Source organism: Homo sapiens, chromosome 12, assembly GCF_000001405.40.
Source record: "Homo sapiens chromosome 12, GRCh38.p14 Primary Assembly".
NCBI lineage: Eukaryota > Metazoa > Chordata > Mammalia > Primates > Hominidae > Homo > Homo sapiens.
In genome coordinates, this window is record NC_000012.12 from 102538533 (window position 1) to 102558632 (window position 20100).

The 20100-nt window shown below is 41.3% G+C and overlaps 1 long non-coding RNA gene across 1 annotated transcript in view, besides 1 other annotated feature; it reads left to right on the top strand.

Moving 5' to 3' along the window:
- The window catches only part of LINC02456 (long intergenic non-protein coding RNA 2456), a 432422-nt gene that overhangs the window by 258959 nt on the left and 153363 nt on the right, over window positions 1–20100 (top strand). The gene's annotated exons all lie outside the window — the stretch shown is intronic.
- Window positions 924–2123: an enhancer, noted in NCBI's record as "P300/CBP strongly-dependent group 1 enhancer chr12:102933234-102934433 (GRCh37/hg19 assembly coordinates)". NCBI's record gives its function as "activates an origin of replication core promoter dependent on BRD2, BRD4, P300/CBP, MED14 and CDK7 cofactors, with strong dependence on P300/CBP, by STARR-seq in HCT116 cells {active_cell/tissue: HCT116}" and the evidence as "EXISTENCE:reporter gene assay evidence [ECO:0000049][PMID:35650434]".

The following is a 20100-nucleotide window of genomic DNA, read 5'->3' on the forward strand; positions in this document are numbered from 1 at the left end:
CATTTGGATATATTTGGGAGGCAAAAAGGACAGGACTTGCTTATGGTTCAGATGAAGCAAGAATAAAAAATGCTGCCTGGGTTTCTGGCTCCTGTGGACTGTGAGGACATTCGCTGCAAAGGCACCATGCTGGGGGATGAATTAAGAGGTCAGGTGCAGATTCCGGGAGTCATCTCTTCTGCAGCTTTCTAAACACCTCTGCTCCCTGCAATCAGAGCTGGTGCACCAAAGTCAACAGGTATGTCCAGCGTTTGGAAAATCCCAATGTTAATGTTGATTGTGATTTCTCAGTTGGTCTTTAGGGCATGACACATGGTAGAGGCAAGAAAAAACATAAAAATAGTCTAGCACTGAGTCCTTGAGCAACTACTATGTGCCTTGTGTGGTACTAAGTACTAAGGTGGAGAAGAAGGTTCAACAATTCTATTAATGAAGGCAATGCCAGGTGTCTATGGAGCTTTGTCTGGGGGTGGAGACTACTTTCTGCCAGCAAGTGACTGAGGACTCCACAGAGATAGTGACATCTAAATTGAGGCTTAAAATTTGGGTAGAGGTTTTCCAAGTAAAAGCAGAGGGAACTCAATTTTCAGCAGCAGCAGCAGCAGGGGCAGAATATAGCAAGTTAGGGATGTGTGCAAGGATTTATCATGTTTATGGAGGGAGAGTTGTAGGTCAATATGGCTAGAGGGTAGAATGTGGTGGGGAGGGGACATGTGTGAGGATGGCACAGCCTGTGTGACCTGCTAACGGATCAAATCTGTACCTTTTGTGAGATGGGAATCAATAAAGGCTTTTAAGCAGGGAATATGCCACAGTCAGGTTTGCATATTAGAAACACAGCTCTGGCTGGGGATGGAGAATGGATTGGAGGGGGAAGTCAGGATAGAAGTTAGGGGGTCTAGTTAGGAGGCTAAAACAATAATTCAGAGGAAAGTTAACAAGAACCTAGAAACACTAATGATAATAATTATAGCTCACAGCTCCATGGTGCATCCTCTGTTCTGAATGTATTATATACATTGATAATTCAGTCCTCACAACACTCCTACAAGGTCAGTTCTATTTACTACTTATTTACAGATTAGAAAATTGTGCTGTAGAGAAGTAAAATAATTTGCCAAGGTCACACTCCACTTAGGAAGTGGTAGAGCAGGGATTTGATCTCAGACAGTCTGATTCACAGCTAAGTTATGAAGAGTGGCCCAAGAGAGGAGATGATGATAAGCGGCAGGGAGAACTGACAGTATTTGTTGACTCAATATAGAGGTAGGTGGGTGATGGTAAAGGAGAGAGAGGAATCCGAGAGACCCTGAAGGCTGTGATTTGGGTGCTGGGGTAGGTGGGGCTAGAGACAGCATCATTTCATCTTTTGTGCTGCGTACAGAGCAGCAACTTGATAGAGCCTGCCCTGCCACTTGTGTGGCATTAAGAGAACCCGTGTCATCCTGTTTTTCAGTTTGATCTGTGCACATGGGGGTTTCCTAGCCAGGGTTGGCATGCATATGAGTAATGTGAAGACTTCGCTGGAATGTCACAGGGATTACGATCCTGCCCTTCTGACCTCCCAGGGATACTGTGAGCAACAAATGAGATAATGAGAGGCAGCCCGGCAGAGTGGGAAGCCAGAGGCTTGAGCTCAAGTGCACTTCCTGTTTCTGAACCCTTGTGGGAAGTCAGCTAATGACACGGAGCCTCAGTTTCCCCACTGGTGAAATAAAAGTCATTCTTCTCCTGATGACCACAGGGGGCTGCTGTGAAAGGAGTTCAGGATGTCACTGGGTGGATGCACTTTGTAAATGATTGGATACTTCACAAGCAAGCACGGGAGTGGTTACTGTGCTGATAACTACATGCCAGTGGAAAAATGAGCTGTACTGGGAGTGTATGACATCTAGGCAAATCATTTTCATTGATAAACATGTCTATAGTTATCAAACAAAAGCGATATATTGACCCATATTTTCAAATAATGCTCTGAAATCAGTGAACTTTCAAAAAAAAGTTATTTTTTATTGATATATAATAGATATACATATTTTCAGGGTACATATGATAATTTAATATGTTCATATAATTTGTAAAGATCAAATCAGTGTAATTGGGCGATCCATCACCTTAAATATTTATCTTTTCTTTATGCTACAAACATTAAAATTATTCTCTTCCAGCTATTTTGAAATATACAATAGATTATCATAAACTATAGTCACCCTACTGACTTATGAAACATCAGGTCTTATTTCTTCTAATTTCTTAAAACATCATTGAACTTTTAAGCCTTGAAAAGAGATAGGATGTATTAAATGTCTTTAATGTAGTAAATACATAAAGTGTCCTTAATCTATTAAATCTCTTTGTGGCATCCCCAGCCAGGAATCCATTCATTTCACAAGTATTTTTTAACCATTGGTGGGGACACAGAAATGAGTAATTCAGAAACACCCCCAATTAATGAGGTTGCATTTTAGTGAGAGAAGCGAGGCAAGAAATGAACAAATAATCAAATACATAAGGTATCTAATTTCAGATTGTGTTAAGTACTATGAAGGAAATAGGATGATGAGAAAAGAGCAGCAGCTACTTTACATGGGTGGTCAGAGCAAGAAGCTGGAAGCTACGAAGAAAAGCTATGCTCAGGAAGAAAACATTCTGGGCATAGAGATGACTCGTGCCAAGACCCTTAGCTAGGAACAAATGTGCCCTATTCAAGAAACAAGAAGGCCAGTGTCTCTGTAGTGCTGTAAGTGAGAGGAGCAGTGATAATAAATGAGTCTGAAGGTGGCAGGGGCCAGATCATTTAGGATGTGGTAGAGTTTGATTTATTCTAGGTGCAATAGGAAAGCCATTGGAGGGTTTGAAGCAGGACAACGTCATTTGAGTGAAGGTTCTCAAAACTCCCTTCTGCTACTGGGTGAAGACAGGACAGAGATGGGGCAACAGTGAGCAGGGCAGGACCACTTATGAGATGGTCAGCTGGGACAAAGGGGATAAGGGTGGAGAGAAGTTTGAAATATGTCTGGGGATAGAGCCAAAAGGACTTGCTGATGGATTAGATGTAGGTAATGAGTGAGGGGCTGAGAATGGCTCCTGGATTTTGACGACATAAAAGGAAACTCTTGGATCAACTGTGCACTCCAGATTCTCATAGGTTAGTGCTCTCTTATGAGACTGAAATCAACGGGGACCTTGTATTTGTCCACACTCACGATAGTTCTGTCATGAAAGGAAGCAAGATCTGCTCAGACCAACAGTTTTTAAAACATTACGAGCTAGAGATGGACAAAAGAAATAAGAAAAGTTAAGGAGTAGAAGTAGGAAGAATGTTCTTGTTTCTTTCCCACTTGTCTTTTCATCGAGACTACTTAATGCTCTAATAATTCCTCTTCCTATTAAAACCAGAAGTTTAAAGAAAGCCCTAGAACATTGATTCTTACATCCATTTAAATACAGGCTGTTACTTCTCTTACCATGCCTTTTCTGAGGTTATCCAGCTATGCTGGGCCATGGAGGAATCATGAATGGAAGGAGGGTGAAGAGCCACTTATGGAGATGGGAGAGAAGCCAGGATTTACACTAAAGAAGGTGGCTTATGCCTGTAATCCCAGCACTTTGGGAGGCCGAGGTGGGCGGATCACAAGGTCAGGAGATCGAGACCATCCTGGCTAACACAGTGAAACCCCGTCTCTACCAAAAATACAAAAAATTAGCCGGGCGTGGTGGCGGGCACCTGTAGTACCAGCTACTTGGGAGGCTGAGGCAGGAGAATGGCGTGAACCTGGGAGGCAGAGCTTGCAGTGAGCTGAGATCACGCCACTGCACTCCAGCCTGGGTGACAGAGCAAGACTCCGTCTCAAAAAAAAAAAAAAAAAAAAAAAGACTTGTCTTCATAGGCCCCTCTTCCAATCTCATCTCTTGGGTTTGGAGTCCCCTCTATATCCACCATGCATAACTGAATTGAAAGGAAGAAGTATGCCTAGAAGAAAAGCTTCTATAAGAAGATCCCAGCGTTTCATCTCGGCAGTCTGCAGCTCTGCCTCAAGTTAACCCTGAAACAAGAAATCAGGCTTAGGGGAGCATTTATTTCAAGGTTTCATAATCTCATGTTTGACAGCAGCTGGTGGTACAAAGTGTGGAGTCTACTGGATGGATCCGATTATATACCAGATGGTTCTGTTTTCAAATTTACTCCAAATGTTCAGATGCTTTTTCACTAAATTCATATTTCCCATCTGATATTACCCCCTGGGGCTGAACTTTAATATGGGTTGTAGTTTGTAAGGTTTTTGTTATTCTTTTTGATCTTCCAATAGAAAGAGAATTCCTAAACACCACCATGCATTCACAGGGGCTGAACAATGTCTATACATGAATGAATGCAGCAGGATTGTTCTCTGAGGCAGGTCTTGCCTCCATCATACCTCCTGCCAGAAGTGGACTCAGATATGCCCTATTTGGAGAAGCCTCGAAACCCAGCTCCAATGACCTTGAGATCTGAACAACGTGTTCCTTCCCCTAGGCAGCATATGTTAGCACATAAAAATTCTTAGTAGCAAATTAAAACTTCTTTAGCGGAGAATAAAGGCACTAAGTAACTGTGTTACTGGCCTATTATGTGTCTCTAATTGTGTCACCTCGCTCCTCAGTAGGGTTTTCCGTTCATTATTTCCAGGTCCTTTTCCCACTGCTGTGCACTAATGGTCTTCCTATTCTTCCTCTGCACTCCAGCTGCCTACAGCTGTCAGCCACCCACTCCAGCCTTGCCTTTCTAGTGTTTTCATCTTCCTGCCAGCATTACGAAATTTAACTTATAACAAAAAATGTTTTCTGAGTCTCCTTTTCTTTATGAATTTCTGGTTTCTTTCACCATTTAGAAACCTCTAATTCTCCAAGCACCTGTTCTGGTTACTTCTTTTGACAATCTGGCCTTTTCTGTCCCCAAGTGCATGATTCTAGTGGACTGAGGAAAGAAAAGAAAGGCCTGGGCAGGGAGAATGTACCCTGGAGGTTGGCTGGTGCTGGGCGACAGGGTGCTTATTTGGTGACCCTAGTGCTGAGCCATCGTGTGGGTACCTCTGAGCCACCATTCACATAGAAAATAAGGTGGATGGTAACCTGGGAAGCTGCAAGACAATGAGGCTGGTGCCCCCTGGAGTTGGACAAAGCAATGGCTCTCCCACCAATGAGCTGTGAGACTGGCATTCACTTCACATCTCTGGAATTCCATTTTCTCATCTGTTGAAGAAAATTTGTATGTAATGACTACTAAGATCATTTCTACAGCTGTTTCTAAGGCCATTATGATGAACAGACCCACTCCCTGTTCTCTGCATGTGTTCCTGTTATGTAAATACAAGGTACATTCACATACAGCTACGTAATTTGTGGGTGCCAGTGCAAAATGGAAATGTGGGGCAGGGCCCCTTGCTCAATGATGATTGGAAATTTTAAGACATTGACTGCAGAGCATCAAACCAATTATGAGGCCCTTCTGGGCCTGGGACCTTGTGTGACTGCACAGGTTGCACACCCATGAAGCTGGCCCGATGCTGCTTCTGCTATGTAACCATATATAGCCTCCTGAGCAAGGTCATGCCCATATGGGAAGGTATGGTTTTCTCAGAAAGGAGAAGCCATTTCCTGAGTCAACCAGATGACTAACAGATAGGTTCTCAGATAGTAAAAAATAGGTCTTAAGCTTCTTTGTCCTAGTTTTAGTCCCTTGAGTCTAGACATGGAGGAACCTGTGTCTCTGGATAGTTCTGGTTTCAATATGATGCCCAGCATTTGCGGGCAGGCCTGAAACTTGGATAGGTTGAGGTCTGTGACCATGGAAGGTAGGTAATATTTGTAAAGTAGGTTCTCTAATGTTATATTATTTTCTGGGTTTATTTCTATGCAAAAACAGAAAAGGTATTATTCAGTAGAATTATTCATAGAAATACACTGTACCTAGATGGAAGAAATTCTCTGGCAAATTTCCAGTGGAGGAGGCTGAGATCCCAAGGGCACATTTAAGTAGCAGAAGATGATTGCTAAACTGCTATGTGTGAGGCAAGGAAAGGAGCTTGTATGGATCCAGAAGGGATAAGGGGGTGAGAGGACTGGAAGGACAGAGAGATGAGAGAGAGCTGGGGAGCCAGAACATTGGCATTTCTTGGAGAGGGGCAAAAGGAAGAGATGCCCTGTGGCCCAAAATGAGAAGGGGATTTTGGGATAACAGATGTTCAAGAAGAGATTTTTCATTCGTTTGATATATATGATATAAGTCCTCACTTCCTCTGGATTCCCATATTAAATTTTTAGTAGAGTCTAGATTGTGCCGTACTGTATTGTGTATGTGTGTGTGTGTATGAGCCTTTTTTGGAAGTGTGAATAGACGCTGATTTCTTGTGTACTGTTAGAGTCAATGCAGAAGCAAAGACTGCATCTGTGAACAGGATACCAGGCAGGAGGAACCCAAGGCTGCAGGATCCTGACAAATTTCTGGACTTCCGTAGGGGGCCGTGGTAATAGTAATTGGTGATGGAGGGGGCAAAGCAGGTGGTTTAAATGAATTTTTTTTCTAGAACACAGGGATAGGGAGGATTCCCACTTACATCAGCTCTTTATTTCCTTTTGTTATTACTGAGCCTTTAGAAAGGTCTTGTTTAAACATTCCAGCTTGGTCTGAAGCTGTAGTGCAGACTATTTAGGGAAGGTTCATGTGTCCATACTTGGACCAGAAAGTGAAAGTGGTGGGGGGAGACGGAGGAGTGCCCTCTGCTCTTCCCTAGGCTACCATAGCAGTGGTAATTGTTCTTAGTGAGAGATGTTCACAGGATGGTGAACGTGAATTTTTGGAACAAGCACCATGGTTGTAAGATTCAATATCCCTACCCCCACTCCAATATGAAGATTCTCTCTCCATTGCTATTCTTGAAACCTCTAGGGTTTTATGTTTTTTTTTAAAAAGACATATAATGTCCTTTGATCCATCTGTTTTGTATTCATCTATTTCACATGTTTGCAGTTTGGGAACCATAATAAGGGCTGTAATTTTGGGCAGAGATATTTCTGAGCATTCTGAAATTTTATAAATCTTAAATCACACTATGATACATGTCTGTGGAAGCTTCCCCCTAAAATAGAAATGCTGTTATAGATCCTACAGTGTTAATATTTTAAAAAGTTGATAAATGAGTAAAAATGCAATTTAGTCATTAAAATTTTAAAAATTCTGTTCATGCTTCTTATCTTCCCAGTTACATTCCCAGAACTCATTTTCCTACTGTATTGAACATGCACTTTATTGATAGCTTCTTCAATCTGTGGAAGATGACATTTCAGGGGACCAAATGAATGGGATCTTTGGTATACAGAAAAGTACCATCCCTAATAAGTAATTTCTTAAGAATAATGTTTCAGTCAAGGTTCCATGGCTGCAGAGAACAGAAACTCACAGAAACTAGTTGAAATATAAGGAAAAACGTTATGGACCTCCAAGGACAGAAAATGAGTAGTCGTCTTACCTGGATATGGGAATTGGATACTTAGAAGCTAAGACAAGACCCTCTGAGACAATGCCTTCCATCTCTCACTGGCTTGGGTGAAAAGAACTACCTTTCAAGTTCCTATCTTGATCCATTGATGTTTTTCTCTCAACCTTCTTCTCCCAGATAACATCATGTCCCCATGGTGGTCTGTGGTTGACAACAGCACTATATGTCTGAATTATCTACTGGATGTGTTCTGAGGAGGTCACTGAACTGTGTAGTAATAGCTAGAGTGCGCAGATTTGCTTGTGGTGGGTTGATATGGGGAGGGTGTTGGCAGAGCTGAAGCCTTGTACTTTAGGAGATAGGGGAACTTTATCAGTTCCTGAGGAAGATAGGATAGAATTTGCTGAAAGAACCCATGTATCGTCTGTCTGAGATTGAGCAGATAAAGAAATTGAAGAGAAAAGAGTTTTTTATTTTATGTATCTAGATTTTTGTACTTTGAGCTTTATAAGGGGACTTTGAGGTTTAACATTTGGGCTTTCATATCATTGGGCATTGATAATTAGAGGGAATTTATATTCTATAATTTTGGGACAGTCTTCATTGTATTAGTTGGTTTCATTGTTATAACCTCTGGCAAGCTCTACTGGATCATGTGACTGGGTCTGGTTAGAGATGGGAAATAGAATTGAGAGTGATTCTTTGGCTTATGAGGAAATTGGCCCTGGAAGAAAGAAATTTCCTTTTCCAACCCAGAGAACTCTCGGGGTAACAGTTGAATGGCTCACTCCAGAGATCCAGGACAGGATAGCGACAGTGGCAGGTATCCTGAAAGGAGGGTGGGCAACTGTCCCAGATTGCCCAGGACTGAGGGGTTCCAGGGATGTGGGGCTTGCAGTGCTAAAATTGCAAATATTCCAGGTACATCCCTGGCAAATAGGGTGACAATTGCTCACCCTACCCAAAAATGGGGGCAGACTGGCTCTGAAACATGACTGGGCTTTTTCTCCTGAGTGGTGGTGATGAGGAAGAAGAGGGAGAGATGGCCTCCTCTGGTTGTCCACAGGCCCCTGGTTGTTAAGGCTCTTACTTTCTTGTAACCTGGGTCCCAATGTGGTTGGACTTCTTACATGGTGGCTGATTTTTTAAAGGGAGAAAACAGAAGTGGCCAGTTCTCCAAGGGTTCCAACATGTGACTTCCACCACATTCTTTTGGTCAAAGCAGACACAAGGCCAGTCTGAATTCAAGGGGGAAAGAAACAGTCTCCTATTTCTTGCTAGATGGAGCACCATATACATACAGTGGGAGAAGGTCTTGGTGATGGCCATCTTTGGAGACTCTCTGCTATGAATATTTTTTGGAAATTATGAGGCACATAAGAATATAAAATATTAATGTCATAAGAGCCCATTATGAGGCAAGTTCTCTCTACCCTGAGCTAAGTCAGATAGTTTCTGTTTCTAAGAACTTACATTCTAGAAGAGACAGATGTGCAAGTATCTGCATGCTGCAATACAGCGTGAAGTATGTGTCTGTGTATATACACACATATGTATATATAACATGTATGTGCGAAGTATTACGTAAGTTAATAGAAAATAGTGATTTTTTTTTCTATTTGGGGTTCGTAGAAAATTATCAGACTTCACAGATGATTGAAGGGATTTGAAGGATGAATATGAGTTTATGTGGCATACAAGAAGGGTAATAGTATACCAGGCACAGAGAAATTGTGTGTGGAGTTTCAGGAATTTACAAGTGCATGATTTGCACTATATGACTGGAGTGTGAATTTCAGTGGAGTGTGAGTGGAGTGTGAGATTGAATTGAAGGAGCAGGCTGGGAACATAACAAGGAGAACCTTGTCTGTTGTGTTGTAGACTTGATTTATTTTAAAATGAGGGAGTGATTTATTAAATTTATTTTTTAATGTTTACTCTGGCAGCAGTAAATAATAATAATAATAATAATAAACAATACTTAATGAAAATTTACTATTTACTAGGCACTGTTGTGCATACTGTAAAGCCATTTGATATTATAAAAACCCTATGGGGAAGATTACTATTATCATCCCCATTTTACAGCCCAGGAAACTTAGGCACAGAGAAGACAAGTCACTTGCTTAATATCACTTGATTGATAAAGACTTGTGCCTAAATTTGAACCAAGGCAGTCTGTCCCCTTAACTACTATGCCATACTGTCATCCACTTACTTTACGGCAGATTGTTTGGTGTAAGAAGAGGCTGAAGATGTTCCTTCCACTTAGGAGACCACTGAAATAATTCAGATGGGTGTGGTGATATCCTGAAAACAGGCAGCAGTAGTAGAAAGAAGAGATGCAGTTGAATCCCAAAGCTGTTAAAGGAATATAGATAATAGAATTCAGTGAACAATTATATATGGAGGGTAGAGAAAGACAAATTGAGGATGACTTCAAAGTTTCTGGTTTAGGTGAGCTGGTGAATATCAGTACCCATCATCATGAATAAGAAATGGAAGAGGATAGTTTGGTTTGCATGGAAAGACAAAGTTCATTTTGACAGAGTTTGAAGTGCTCATCGGACATCTGAGGAGTGGTGTGTGGGAGACAGTTGGAAAGAAGGATAGATTCAATGGAACAGGGAGTTTCAAGGAAGCAGTGGGCCCCAGTGCCAAATGGATTAGGAAGGTCAAGTAAGGTAAGGCGTGTGGAGCTACCACTGGATCTGTAAATACAGAGGTCAGCGTGACCTTGACAAGAACAGAGTCATTGGAAGGGTGGCTGGCAGCCAGACTGCTGTGGGTGAGGAAAGGAGGAAGTAAAATCAGCAAGGGGTGGCCTAGATTTCCAAGAATTTGCCTGGGAAGGGAGGGAGAGAGGGAGAGCAGGAGCTGCATGGAGATGGAGGAGAGAGAGGGGACATTTGTTGATGTATTTGCTTTTTTTCTTTCTTTCTTTTTTTTTTTTTAAAGAATGTGTGGTGTTTTGTTTTGTTTTTTTATGAGGTGAGAGAATCAGAGGAGAGAGGGAGGCTCAAGATTTAAAAAGAAGAGGAGCACTATTAATGGACCTAAGTGCCTAAGGGCAGCTAAACAAAGGACAAGTGGAAGGATTAACTTTAGAGGACATTTATTCTTTGAAAATAGCAGAGAGGAAGATAACAATGTTTAGAGAAATGGGCATATTTGCAGTCATGTGTGTGGGGTAGGAAACTGAAAAAATTTCATAATTATCTCAAAGAAGCACTAGCAAAAATCATTTGCCCAAGGAGAAGAGGGCTAGGAAACGAGTGAGACGGTGGAGGTTGGAATACCACTTTGGTAATCAGGGGGTAGAAGGGAAATTACATTCATGGAGAATTCACTATGTGTTAAGCACTGTGCTAGATCCTCATGCATAATAGTATTGGTAATAATAAATAATAGTTGAGGTTGGAACCCTTTGAATTCTTTGTAAAAAGTTGGTGCTCCATAAATATTTATTGAGTGATTGCAGTTTGCTTTATCGGCCCAGTTTGCAGGTAGGTCCCTCCTCTGATTCAATCAGTGAATATTAACTGAAAGTCTACTGTGAAAAAAATCCTGATTCTAGAAGCAGGGAGGAGGAAATGTGTGTCTTGGGAAGCTTAAGACAGTCCCTGCTCTCTAGGAACTTTCAGGATAAATGCTGAGACATCAGTTACTTTTATCCTTCCTTCCCCAGTGTCTCAAGATCCTGGGGGATATCCAGCATCTCGAATAGAATCTCAGATGACTTTGACCCCAGTTGTACACAGTTCATATAGTGGCTCTGGGTTCTATTACTATGACACCACCTCCCAGCAGTGGCTGTGAAGTTGCCTCGAGAAACATTCCTAATCCCAGGCCACTGGTTCTCACTGTGCGGCTCCCAACCCAGAGCATCAGTATCTTGTTTGAAGTGCAAATTCTCAGGCCTCACTCAGGAACTCTGGGGGATATAGCCTAGCAGTGTGTGTTTTCACAAGCCTTCCCAGTGACTGATGCTCACTCAAATTTGAGAATCACTTCCATCGACCAGGGCTGTCATGGTCTTGGCTGATCTCACGTCATTATAGGGACCTTTCTTGTGTGTTTGATACCAGTGCTTAGCATAGACATATAATAAATGTTCCTTGAAATCACTGGCCTTGATCAGGGCTGTGCATATGTGTGTATGGGTGTTGAGGAAAGGGTGCAAAGGAGAAGATCAGAGAGGGGAGGGGCATGCAGTTTTTGTCTTCTCCCTTTTCTCAGTGGGAAGAACATTGTGCTGAGAGCAGGTTGGTAACTTGGAGTAGAAAGATAGACAGACTTCTAGAATTGGCATGGAGCTTGGCAATGACTGAGACCAATGATTTGTAACTTCTTTTGGAGTGATAGATCTTTTGGGGAATAATAGTGTTGATGATAGTTATGATTATAGTTATTTATTGAGTGATTACTATGTACCAGCACCATGTGTTACGAATGTTATCACATTTAATCCTCATCAATAGGCTGTAGTTTATCTTCATTTACCAATAAAAAAAAAAGATGAGCTTAAATAGCTTTCCCAAAGTCACACAACTGGTAAGTGGTAGAGCTGGGTTTCAGATTTGAGATTTCTTTGTCTCTAGGCACTGAAACCACCAAGTCAGAGTGCGTAATATACAAGGAAGGCTTTAGACTCTCTCTCTCTCTCTCATGCACACACACATGCACACTTTTTTTTTTCAGAAATTTAAACATTGGCTTAATCAATGTTGATAATCAATGTCTCTTACCCATTACCTGTTACCCAAGGTAATTAATGTCTGTTGGCCATCTTAACTAGAGATTCCTGTCTCTCAGTTCATCTTCGCCTTAAGAGGAAACTCTTAAGTGCAGAAAGCCTGTTTCTTAGAACCCATTCTTCCTACAACTACTTTCCTCATTTCCAGCAAAGTCGTGGGGATCACTGGAAAGCACAAGGTGTTCTAAGATAGCGCACAGCATTCCATTTCACCTCCAAAAGATGTCAGTGTTTTTATCTCTCTCCCCACTTCCCTCCCTCCTTCCTTCCCTTTTTCTCTGCCTCCCTCTCCCTCTTCTTTCCCTTCTCTCTTTGTAAAAAGTTGTCTTACTCAGTTTCTTGAATGATCCCATGATGTTTTCTCCTTCATACTGTTACTTTGGCAAGAAGCAAACTACTGAGCATGTAGTGTACTGGATAAGAACTGAAGTACTTTCTTTTCTGTAAAGAAAGTGCGCATGTATCAGCTCTGTGACTATATTCCACATTGGCCCTGCTGGAGGGAAGATACTTTCTGGAAAAACAAGTCAACTTATCCCACTCTGGCAGCCTTCCTTTCTCATCAGAGCTGTGGTTGGCTCAGCAAAGCCCAAGGGCTGCTGTGAGCCCTCTCTGCATATGTGGCCATCGAGGTAACAGAGGAGGCTGAAGGCTGTGGTCAGCACCTGAGGCCCACAAACCAATGCCCTGAAGCTACTCTGAAAAGGTGGCTGCTGGGGTCACTGGCTGCCTAGAGCTTTCCAGGGCTTTCAGTTCTCTGTTGGGCTGGAAATATATTCAGGGCAAAGGGCTTGGGCATTTTTTTCCCCTTGTGGTATTTGGCTATGGTGAGCTCAAATTCTAGCTCAGCCCTGGCAGGGCTGAGGACTGTATAAGTGAAAAATAGTGGAATGAAACCTCAGAACACGTATGACCTTCAAGAAGGTTTGGTTTGGATTGGGTTCTAGAAATGGTCTGAGTTTTTTGGTTGTAGGCTTTTTTTTTTTTTTTTTTTTTTTTCGGAACGCATTTTGAACTTCTCCAGAATGCTGTTCATGGCCTATGGGAAGGGCCTCACTTGGCCCCTCTCTATCCCCCTACCCCAAGCAGTATCACTGGGGATAAAAGAAAGGTATGTTAGAAATTATCATTAGATGAGTGTCACCTACCAGGAGCTGGGCTAAAGAGCTTCACTACCATCCTTGCATGTAATTTTTACAAGATTCCTGCAAGGAAAGTATCGTTACACTCATTGTAGGATAAAAAAACAGAGGTTCAGAGTGTCTACTGCTTGTCCATGATAGCAAGATAGTAGTGTGGGATTTGAACATCAGAAACTTTGGAATATGGGCTCTGAAACACCATGTTGTACTCCCTTTATTCCTCCTTTCCTTTTGTTTTTTCCTTTTCCTACTTCTTCTTAATCTTTTTCTCCTTCTACTGCATTTACAAGGACAATTTAGCTGGCATTTCAAAGTGCCTGCTGTAGGCAAATTGCTGTGCTGGGCCCTCTAGGAGATGCAAAGATGAAGAAGTCACATCAGTGTCAGCTGAGACCTTGAAAAATTCCTTGAGGAAGTATTGGAGGTGGATCAGTGAGCTGGTTCTTCATTAAGTGGGTCCTTAAACCTAGTCTTGTTTAAGAATACTCCCTCTCTCCTTTGATTTCCAAATAAGATGCTCAAAAACTTCTGATCCTTAGTTAATCAGAGAAAGGAGTGAGGATACCTACTGCAAATTTTTTTTTTTTTGTGGGTTCATGTTTGTGACCACCACTGTATGTTTAAGTTACATATGGGACTGAAATTGATCCCATAATTTATTCAGGGATAATTGTATGACCTAAGCCAGACCAATCAGAGGTCTCCCATGGACTTCTATTGGCTTTATTAGTAAAGATGCTTTCTGAGTTACAGGCACGGTAAGGACATGTGGTAGGCCTAGGGCTGCTTGTAACCATTTTGCCACCATATGGAAAATATCTGTCTGAAAATGAAGCTAAAGAAGAGGCACCCAGAACTCAGAGGGAGAAAGAGAATGTTCCTGAAGAAAATCCGGAAGGCTGGATCTAGCCATGCCTGAAGCCACATATTAATTATATGAGCCAATAAATTCCCAATTTTGCTTAAGATAGTTTGAATCGGGTTTCAGTCATACACAAGTGAAAGAGTATAAACACATACATGTAGAAGAAGATGCAGAGGGTTGGCCATGCAGGTTGCTTGGTGAAAGATAACAGGAGAGAAGGGTCTGGGCAGTCCAGGAACTGTTCCTGTCTTGCTGGTTGATTGATATTCAGCACCTGAAACAGTGCTTGGCACTTAATAGGCAGTCAGTAATTATTGACTGAATGAATGAACGATAGAATTAGGGTTGGATCAGGCAACTTGCACATCATATTTTGGTATTTTATTCTTAGAAAGCTATAGTGATATGTTTAGCCATTTGCTACACTTTTGTATATTTTCTTCTGTTTTTCCTTGGTTCTTAGTAAAGTCCTTTAAAAAAATTCAAGCTTGTTGCTTATGCCAAAGGGGCTAAGGAGGTATTTATCCAGGCCTAGGCTGGAAAGGGGAAACGTAATGCCTTTGGAGGTTGTGTATGGTAGATGAGGTAAGAAAAGGATTTGCATGATGCCACAATGTGCAGATATAGGATGTAGGAAGAGAGGACCTGAGAGCAAAGGAATAGCTCGTCCTCTCTCTCTCTTCCAAGCTGTTTCTTGTCTCTTTAGTGGAATTTTTTGTGTTATTTGCAGGGGGTAATTTTCTCCCTTAGTCACCTGTACAGTCATCTCTTTCTTTCTCCTCCTCTTTCTTCTTTTCTGCTTCTCTTTTTTCTTTATGCTGTCCCTGCTTTTAATCCAGTAGTTTTTTTTTTTCCTTTCTCTCTGCTCTCTTTTTAATTTTCTTTCATTTTGCCCAACCATTGTTCACCAGTCATTGTTCTCAAATCCATGTGACTTTCAAAGGCCAGTCCTCCTGGCCACCCTTCCCCGAGTTCATCCCAAGCTGTACACTCCCGCTTTGCCGCACCATTATTCCACATCTGGGGCATGTTATAGAAAACATAGACATGGAGGCATGTGCCAAAGACTAAAAGGACAGAGCTCCTGGAGAGGGGACCAGCATTTGCCAACTCTCCCATGCCACTTAACTTAGAGCCAAAAAGACTCAATCAATCATGGCCAAAGGATTCTGTACAATTTGCCACCAGCTGCCTCAATAAAGGTCACCAACTGTCTACTCATTGGGTGATTAGCTGGGATAATGTGGGAGAATACAAAAGAAGATGCAGTGGATCTCACAGTCTAGGAAAGGGTTGAGACACAGAGAAAGAATGGAGTCCTTGAAGTCCCAGTTTCACACCTCATTTCTCATCTAAAGAAGACTGGATCTTGGCCAGGTTAACCTTTTTGATTCTTAGTTTATTTGTAAAATATAAGTAATTGTGATATTCACTGATCAGGTGTTTTGTGAGAATGAGAAGATACACTACATTTAAAGTCCTTACTTAATCATTAATGACTGATCATTTTTGGCCTCCTTTGCTAGCTAGAGAAAGCATAATTTCACAACCCAGATGTTAGCTGGGGTCTCTCTGCCCCTTGTCTTCAAGAAGAAGAAATTGCTTGCAACCCCAGTTCCCACCACCAACAGATCTATGATTGTTTCTCAGCCTTATGGTAGGGGTAACAAACTTAGAAGCCTATTGCAGCCAGATAGATAATGTAAATGAGGGAAACTAGGTAAGTTCACTCACTTACATAGGGTAATATGGGGTGGTGGGGACTGGCAAGTTGGACACTGTGTGCTTCATGTAACATGGCAGTCTTATCCATCTCCTGCCAATTATTTCCTTGTGGACTGTGGTCCCAGATTTCCCAGATACTTTACTCTATTTCAAGAAAAAATTTCTGGATTTTAAAAAGTGAGATAAGCTGAATTTTACAATGTTGTCAATGTATTCAGATTAAAAACAATGACAATGACAATAGCAATACAACATTTTGATGGATCAAATCAGTACCTCTGTAGATCAAACACATTCTGCCTCTAGACTTTCTCTTTGGCTTATTTTTCAGGACCCCTTCTGCATATAGAAACTTCTCCTTCACCAGGTTTCACGAAAAGTCCTGAGCATTTAGTCTTACCAAGCATTTAGTGTGACAAGAGTCTTTTCAGGGAAGTTGAAAGTCACAGAAAAGTCACATCACACCATAGGTTTCTCTTATCTACACTTTCTCTAAGTTTCTTCTCCCTTTCTCCTTCCATTGTCTCAGGAGCAACTAAACTCTCTTTGTCTTACATGAATTTACTAAGTTCCCTTCTTTGAAGCTTTGACACCAGTTTACATTTATGCTCCATGGGGACTCGGCTATCCTAAGATGGCTTCTCAAGACATTTTCTTATCAAGGATGATCCTTCTTCTGAAAAGAATCCTCTGACACAAGCTGTTAAGAGGGGAAAAATAAATTCTCCATCTCATTATGAATGAGCCAATTAGCAAGGGAGGCATGGTTATTAAAGTGCCAAAAGTTGTGGTCTGTGCATTGAATGCTTCACATTATGGAAGAGAAGGGTGCTGAGCCTGCAGGAAAGGTTCTGTCTGCAAGAATACTTGATGCCCTGTGGCCACCCGCAGCAATCCTGAACACTGGCTGAGACAAACTATAGCATGTGGTTTGCCAGGTCTCTGTGTGCAAAGGGGATTGTCTATAAAAGTTCTACAGAAATCAGAATGGCAGACCCAGGATACAAGATTCAGGGGGATACAGCAGATATGATAGACTACAGTGGTTATGGGCAAAAACTTGGAATCTCACTTCCGTCATGTGCAAGTTTACTGAAGTTATTTACTCTCTTTAAGCCTCAGTTTCCTCATCTGCAAAAAGAGGCTCATAATACTTATTCCCCAGGGTGTTAAAAGATTTCATGGGAAACCATGTGTGAAGCACCTGCGCATTGTAGACATTGAAAAATGCAAGTTTCCTTCCTGCCTAGTCCCTACTCCTTCTTCAAGGTTCACTGCTGGCATCACCCCCTCAGGATGCTTTCCTTGCACTTCTCTTAATTCCATCTGTGATGGGTTAGGTACTCCACTCTTCTCTGCATCTTAGACTTTCCAGTACACTGTTTGCATCACTCATCTTGCGGAGTATTGAATGGCTTGTTTTTATTTCTGCATCTTCTTGAAAACTAGGACCATCTCACATGGACCTTTGTCTCTCCAACTCCTGGCATGGTGCTGCATGCATGAAAGGAACTCAGTAAATGTCAAACTAGGGGCTCTGAAGTGAAGAGAATATTTTCTTACCTATCTTCAGAAATGTACAATTTAGAAAAGAAGATTATAAAATATATATTCCTGAAAAGGTTTTACACACACACACACACACACACACACACACACACACACACACAATTTATTATTACCCATCCTTGGTGCTTGGCCCAGCTGCAGCACTTATTGGGGTTATTAACAAAGACAAGGCCTAGATTTTAACCTGATATCAACCTGAAAGTTGGGTCAAGATCTCAGAGAAAGAGAGAAAATTGAGCGGGAAGGAGAATGCCTCTTTTTCTTGTGGAAAGTCCTTGAGGAGTTGCAATTAAAGACCTAGTGTACTTGAAAGTATCTCTTCCAATCTGAAAATAAATTGAACTTCCTGAACTGCTTTTGGAAAACCAAAGCTTGGAAGATTTTTTGACTTTCATCCTTCCTGCGTCAGCATTTGGAAGAGAAACAGGGAACAATGAACAATTAAAAGAAACCCACTGCATTAACAATCAGTAGATTTGGGGGTCGGGGAGACAGAAAGGCTAATGATTCTAACTTTTTAATTGTGTGAAGCCTAAAGAATTATGGAATTACCTAGAACTTAAGCTTTTCATCTTTTTTCATTTGATCTCTAGCCAAGTAACTACTGTAGAATAATTTAATATTCTCTGAGTCGTCAATAATAAGGCTTGCAATGTGATAGTTAAATGCACTTAAAATTTTGATGAGATCATTAATAATATCTCTTGTCAGTGACTTAACTCTAGTTAATAACTTCCTTGTGACTTTCGTCAAATAGATTTTCCTGGGGATATTAATTTCCAAAGGTTTATGGATGTCCTTCAATTGTTAGCCAGTGACAGAAATAGCTTTTCTGCTGTGGCATGTTTTGAGGTTTTGCTCTTACTTCTAAGAAAAAGGCGATAATTGTGTAAACCAACTACTCATCTGTGTTTGGCATCAAGTTTTAACCTAAAACCTGAAGTAATATTTTCTAAAAAGAATAGTTTCATGTAATTTTCACGATAACATCATGCCAACACCAACTATTCTAAAATGGCAGCCTGTTATTTTACAAGTTATATAAGTCTAATAGAGGAGAAAAAATCCTCTTACCGCCTCACTTTGGGAACAGTTTCTTAGAATTTTCCTGACTAATATGGGTTCACGTCAGTATGCTCATTCCTCATCTTCTGCAGCTCATGCCACACAACCAATCCAAACCCACTTCTAACCCAGAGCCAACCCGAGTCTTCAAAGCGGGTTGTATCTGCTCTGCGGTGGGGAGAAAAACTTGGGACAGGGTTAGCAGAGAGTTTCTCATTAAGTTCTAGAACTGCTGAGCAGTTGAGCACCCTTTGGAGTTGGAAGGAGGCATCTGAGGGCAAATAAAGATAATTGCTTTATATATTGACTAATGGTCATTCAGAATTTGTCAATCCACATAGGAGCCTAGACTCGCAGGGCTTGGCACAAGGAGGGGGCTCCACACATATTTGCTGAATGAATAAATGCTATCAATAAGGCCAAGCAGGGTTTGGATAACCTCAGAGATGTTTGATAACTGACTAGGAAGGGGAATTCAATTTCCTTTCAGTTTTAGACCAACTACTTCCTCCTCCTCTTCCTCTTCCTCTTCTAATTATGTGACTTGCCAGAAAGAGAAATTCTTGCCCCTGGAATCAGGAGAATCTCTTTTGCTATTATGAAAAACATGAACATATGTCTTTGAAATCTCTTTTTCTTTTTTAAAGAGAGAATTTTCTACATGATCTCTAAGGTGTCTTAACCCAAAACAAGGGCTCCTCATATATGGAGCAAAAGGCTGGGTTAAAAGATAAATCTTTTCTGGGATTTACAGTCCTGTTGAAAGACAGGACATGTTCAGATGGAGAAATAATGGTAATAAATGAGCATATGCTGAAGTCCAAACAATTAGTATGTCTGTGTGCTGCAGTCCCAGGAGACAAGATATCCTCTTACCCATTCAAGGAACACCCTGGCCCTCGGATCGGGCTCTACTCTCTTCTGTGTTGCCAGGCCATCTTCCACCAACCATCCTTTCTTTATTAACTTCCATATCTTTATCTGTCTTGGCCATTTCTCCTTGGCTTGGAAGAGTGCGCCAACCTTTCCTATTCTGAACAAACACTAACTGTCTCATTTGGGCCAGGTCTTACTCTAGCAATTTTTCTATTTTTCCTCGTTCCATCTCATACAAATATTTACAGTCATTACTTCAACTTTCTCATCTCCCTTTCATTCCTCAGCTCCCTCAACTCTCAGGTTTACGACTCCCTGTCCCTAGAGATGCTCTCTGTAAGATCAGCTGTGGCTCTTCACTAGCTGAGATAACCAGCCCAATCTTCTGGGGACTTTCAGTCTTGTTTTTATTAGATGGACCACTCCTCTTCATTTGACAGCACGTTGATGATCAATCATAATCTTTTTTATATACTTAGCTGTCTCGGTTCTCTGACCTCATTTTCTTCCTGCTTTTCTCTGCATTCTTATCTTCTCCTTTGAAAAATCCTCCTTTCTCCAACTTTGTCATATGTTGGAGCTCTTCCCTTCTCTATTCTTTAGTTCTTTTCTCAATTTTTATTT